General features: G+C 46.4%; 1 non-coding gene across 1 annotated transcript; it reads left to right on the top strand.

Annotated features, from left to right (window-relative positions):
* Positions 1-2,974: 2,974 nt before the first annotated feature.
* Positions 2,975-3,062, top strand: MIR8070 (microRNA 8070). Its single transcript, NR_107037.1, has one exon. It is a non-coding gene; the product is annotated as a microRNA 8070 (primary transcript).
* Positions 3,063-3,782: the final 720 nt, after the last annotated feature.

The raw sequence follows: 3,782 nt of genomic DNA, 5'->3' as shown, positions 1-3,782 counted from the left end.
TGAAAAGGAACTCACCTACTGATACCCTAATGTTAGACTTTCAGCCTCCAAACCATGGACAATGAATTTCTGTTGTTTAAACCAGCAGTCCCCAACCTCTTTGGCACCACGGGCTGGTTTTATGAAAGATAATTTTTTCACCAGGGTTGGGGGGTTGCAGGGGAATGGTTTCAAGATGATTCAAGCACATTACATTTATTATGCACTTTATTTCTATTATTATCACGTTTAATATATAATGATATAATTATACAACTCACCATAAGGTAGAATCAGTGGGAGCCCTGAGCTTGTTTTCCTGCAACTAGGTGGTCCCATCTGAGGGTGATAGGAGACAGGGACAGATCATCAGGCATTAGATTCTTTTTTTTTTGGGAGACAGAGTCTTACTCTGTCGCTGAGGCTGGAGTACAGTGGCGTGATCTTGGCTCACCGCAACCTCCGCCTCCCGGGTTCAAGAGATTCTCCTGCTTCAGCCTCCCGAGTAGCTGGGATTACAGGCATGCACCACCACGCCCAGCTAAATTTTGTATTTTCAGTAGAGATGGGGTTTCACCATGTTGGCCAGGATGGTCTCGATTTCCTGACCTCGTGATCCCCCTGCCTCTGCCCCCCAAAGTGCTGAGATTATAGGTGTGAGCCACCATACCCGGCCTAGATTCTTATAAGGAGCATGTAACTTAGAGTGGTACTGGTCTGTTGCCTGGGGGTTGGGGACCCCTGGTTTAAACCACTCAGTTTTTGGACTTTGTTTCAGCAGCCCTAGAAAACTAATATAGTTATTTTCATGCCATTCTGTTGCCACCTTCCCCTGTTCTGGATGTGCCTTGTAACACCTACTAAGTAACTTGTAACACCTAGCAAGTCTGTGGTCATGGCTCTATGTTCACTGCCTCAACTGTTCCAGAGTGGTCAGCAGGCCCTTGGGAAGTCATAAAAATAGTATTTATTGACGTTTTCAGTACTTTATACACATTTCATTAGATAAACTCTCACAACAACTCTCTGAGAAAGATACTATTATTGTCCCCATTTTATACCTGAGAAAATTGAGGCACAGATATGTTTAGTAACTTATCTCACATCTATGAAGTGGTACAGCCAGGAGGTGAATAGGTCCAGACACTTTGACCCCAGAGTCCTTGACCTTCGTTCTCACAGTGAGCTCTTAGTAGCCCCCATGCAGACAAGCTTAGAGATGACTGGAGTTGAAGGAATAGTAAGTCTGGATGGCCACTGCTCATCAGTAGGACTCTTGGCAGCAGGATGAAGCTGAAATCTCCATGCCTCTGCAGTGGCCTCTGAGGATCTACCACATGGCATCACTGGAAAATGCTGGACAAAATGCCCTGCCCTGCCATCTGCAGATCACTGAGCCCGCCAAGGTATCTCACTGGTCACAGCTCAGAACTGTTGCTCTCATTTTAGGTTCTGTCCCTTTTATCTTTCAGGCTTTCCCAAAGCTGCCCCTGATGAGTTTTTTGGTTTTCTGCCCACGGAACTCATGTAGAGAACCACTATGGAGGTGCAGAATGCCATAACAATGAACAGTGTGGGAGGCCGCAGTGGCACAGTGGCTCACGCCTGTAATCCCAGCACTTTGGGAGGCCAAGGCAGGTGGATCACCTGAGGTCAAGAGATCGAGACCATCCTGGCCAACACGGTGAAACCTAGTTTCTACTAAAAATACAAAAATTAGCCAGGCATGGTGGTGGGTGCCTGTAGTCCTAGCTACTCAGGAGGCTGAGGCAGGAGAATCACTTGAACCCAGGAGGCGGAGGTTGCAGTGAGCCGAGATTGCACCACTGCACTTCAGCCTGGTGACAGAGCGAGACTCCATCTCAAAAAAAAAAAAAAAAAAAAAGAGTGTAAGCCCTGATGTCAAATGTCTGGATTTGGATCCTGGCTCTGTTCCTTCCAGTCTGTGTGAACTCAGGTGACTCATTTAACTTCAGATCATCACCTGTAAAATGGTGATAACAATGGTACTTATAGGGTTGTTCTGGTGGGGATTTAAACGAACACATGTATGCCTCTTGGACCAAACTTGAAGAGTACTTAATACATGTTGACTTTTATTATACAATCAGTGGGATGGGATAGAGTGCTATAGTGGTAACTGTCTAGAAGTGCATTTATTCCAGAAAGAGGACTGAACTGTATCCGGTTTATAGTAATGAATTCATAAAATTTCAATAACTTGCCATCCATATTACAAAAGAAACACAGAACTTGATACGTATGTAGTTATTTTAGGACATTTACAGTTTGGTAGAAAATGTGCATGGTGTACAGTGGCATATCATAAAGATTTGTTGAATGAATGAGTGAAATGTGAGATAAAGCCAGCCATGAGACATCCTGGTTCCTGGCACTGCACGAGGTGGGAAGCACAGGCTGGCAGAGAGATGCTTGGGCAGCTATGATAAAAGCGGGACTGCTCAGTTGTCCAAATCCCCAATTCTGGAGAATGAGGTAGTTCTGACCCAGTCCAGAACAGAAGGTAGAGGAGTGAGAGAGTGGCATGAATCTCAAGAATCTCACCATCATTGTCAGTGGGGGTGCTGGCACCAAGGCTGGTGCTGAGCTGGAGGGAGCAAAGAGAAGAGGGCGGAGCCCTGGTCAGTTGGGCTCCAGTCCAAGTGGGGAACTAAAGGGAAAGCCAGGGACCTAGAGCCTGTCAGATAGACAGAAAGACTGTTCTATGGAAATTAGGGATGACCAATGGCTCTGTGCTCATTTAGGGATCCCTGCATCACTCAAGGGATCTCTCGAGATAGTCATGGGGCAGCAGAAGCAGAAACACTGCAAACTCTGATCACCATGTGAGCCACGCCTGACCCCATGTGGGTGAAACCTGATCCTACAGTGGTTCCCATGTGACTGAGGCCTGATTCCATGTGAGTGAAGCCTGATCATCATGTGAGTGAAGCCTGATCATCATGTGAGTGAAGCCTGATTCCATGTGAGTGAAACTTGATCCCATGTGATTGACGGCTGACTCCATGTGAGTGAAGCCTGATCATCATGTGAGTGAAGCCTGATCATCATGTGAGTGAAGCCTGATTCCATGTGAGTGAAACCTGATCCCATGTGATTGACGGCTGACTCCATGTGAGTGAAGCCTGATCATCATGTGAATGAAGGCTGATCCCATGTGAATGAAGGCTGATCCCACATGATGAAGCCTGATTACCATGTGAATGAAGACTGGTTCCATGTGGGTGAAGCCTGGTTCCATGTGAGTGAAGCCTGATCCCATATGAGTGAAGCCTGATTACCATGTGAATGAAGCCTGATTCCATGTGTGTGAAGCCTGGTTCCATGTGGGTGAAGCCTGATCCCATGTGAGTGAAGCCTGCTTCTCTGTGAATGAGACCTTATCACCATGTAAGCTGAGCCTGCCTCCTGTGCACTGAGGGCAGGTCCTCACACCTGGCAGCTGGGAGAGCATGCCAAGGACTGGGCTCCAGCTTGCATATTGCAAGACAAAGGGACCACACCCAAGCCCAGTGAGAACAGGCAGTTCCATTCTGAATAGACAGAAGGGACATGCAGCTTGCGTTGGCAACCTTCTGCCTCCTGCATTTCTTAAAGTGGAGTCGATTAATGGCTTTCCAGAAGCAAGGGAAAGATTTCTACTGTGCTCATCATGAAGAAGTGTAAATTGTTACAATCTTTTCAGAGGGTGATTTTGCAGAATTATCAGTACATAAAAGATGGTAATTGCAATGTTGTTTGTGGCAGTGAAAAAGTGGAAATGGTCTAAATGCCATCAACAG

Source organism: Homo sapiens, chromosome 11, assembly GCF_000001405.40.
Source record: "Homo sapiens chromosome 11, GRCh38.p14 Primary Assembly".
Lineage (NCBI taxonomy): Eukaryota > Metazoa > Chordata > Mammalia > Primates > Hominidae > Homo > Homo sapiens.
Note: the sequence above shows the minus strand (reverse complement) of the source record. Positions and strands in the feature narration are given on the sequence as shown.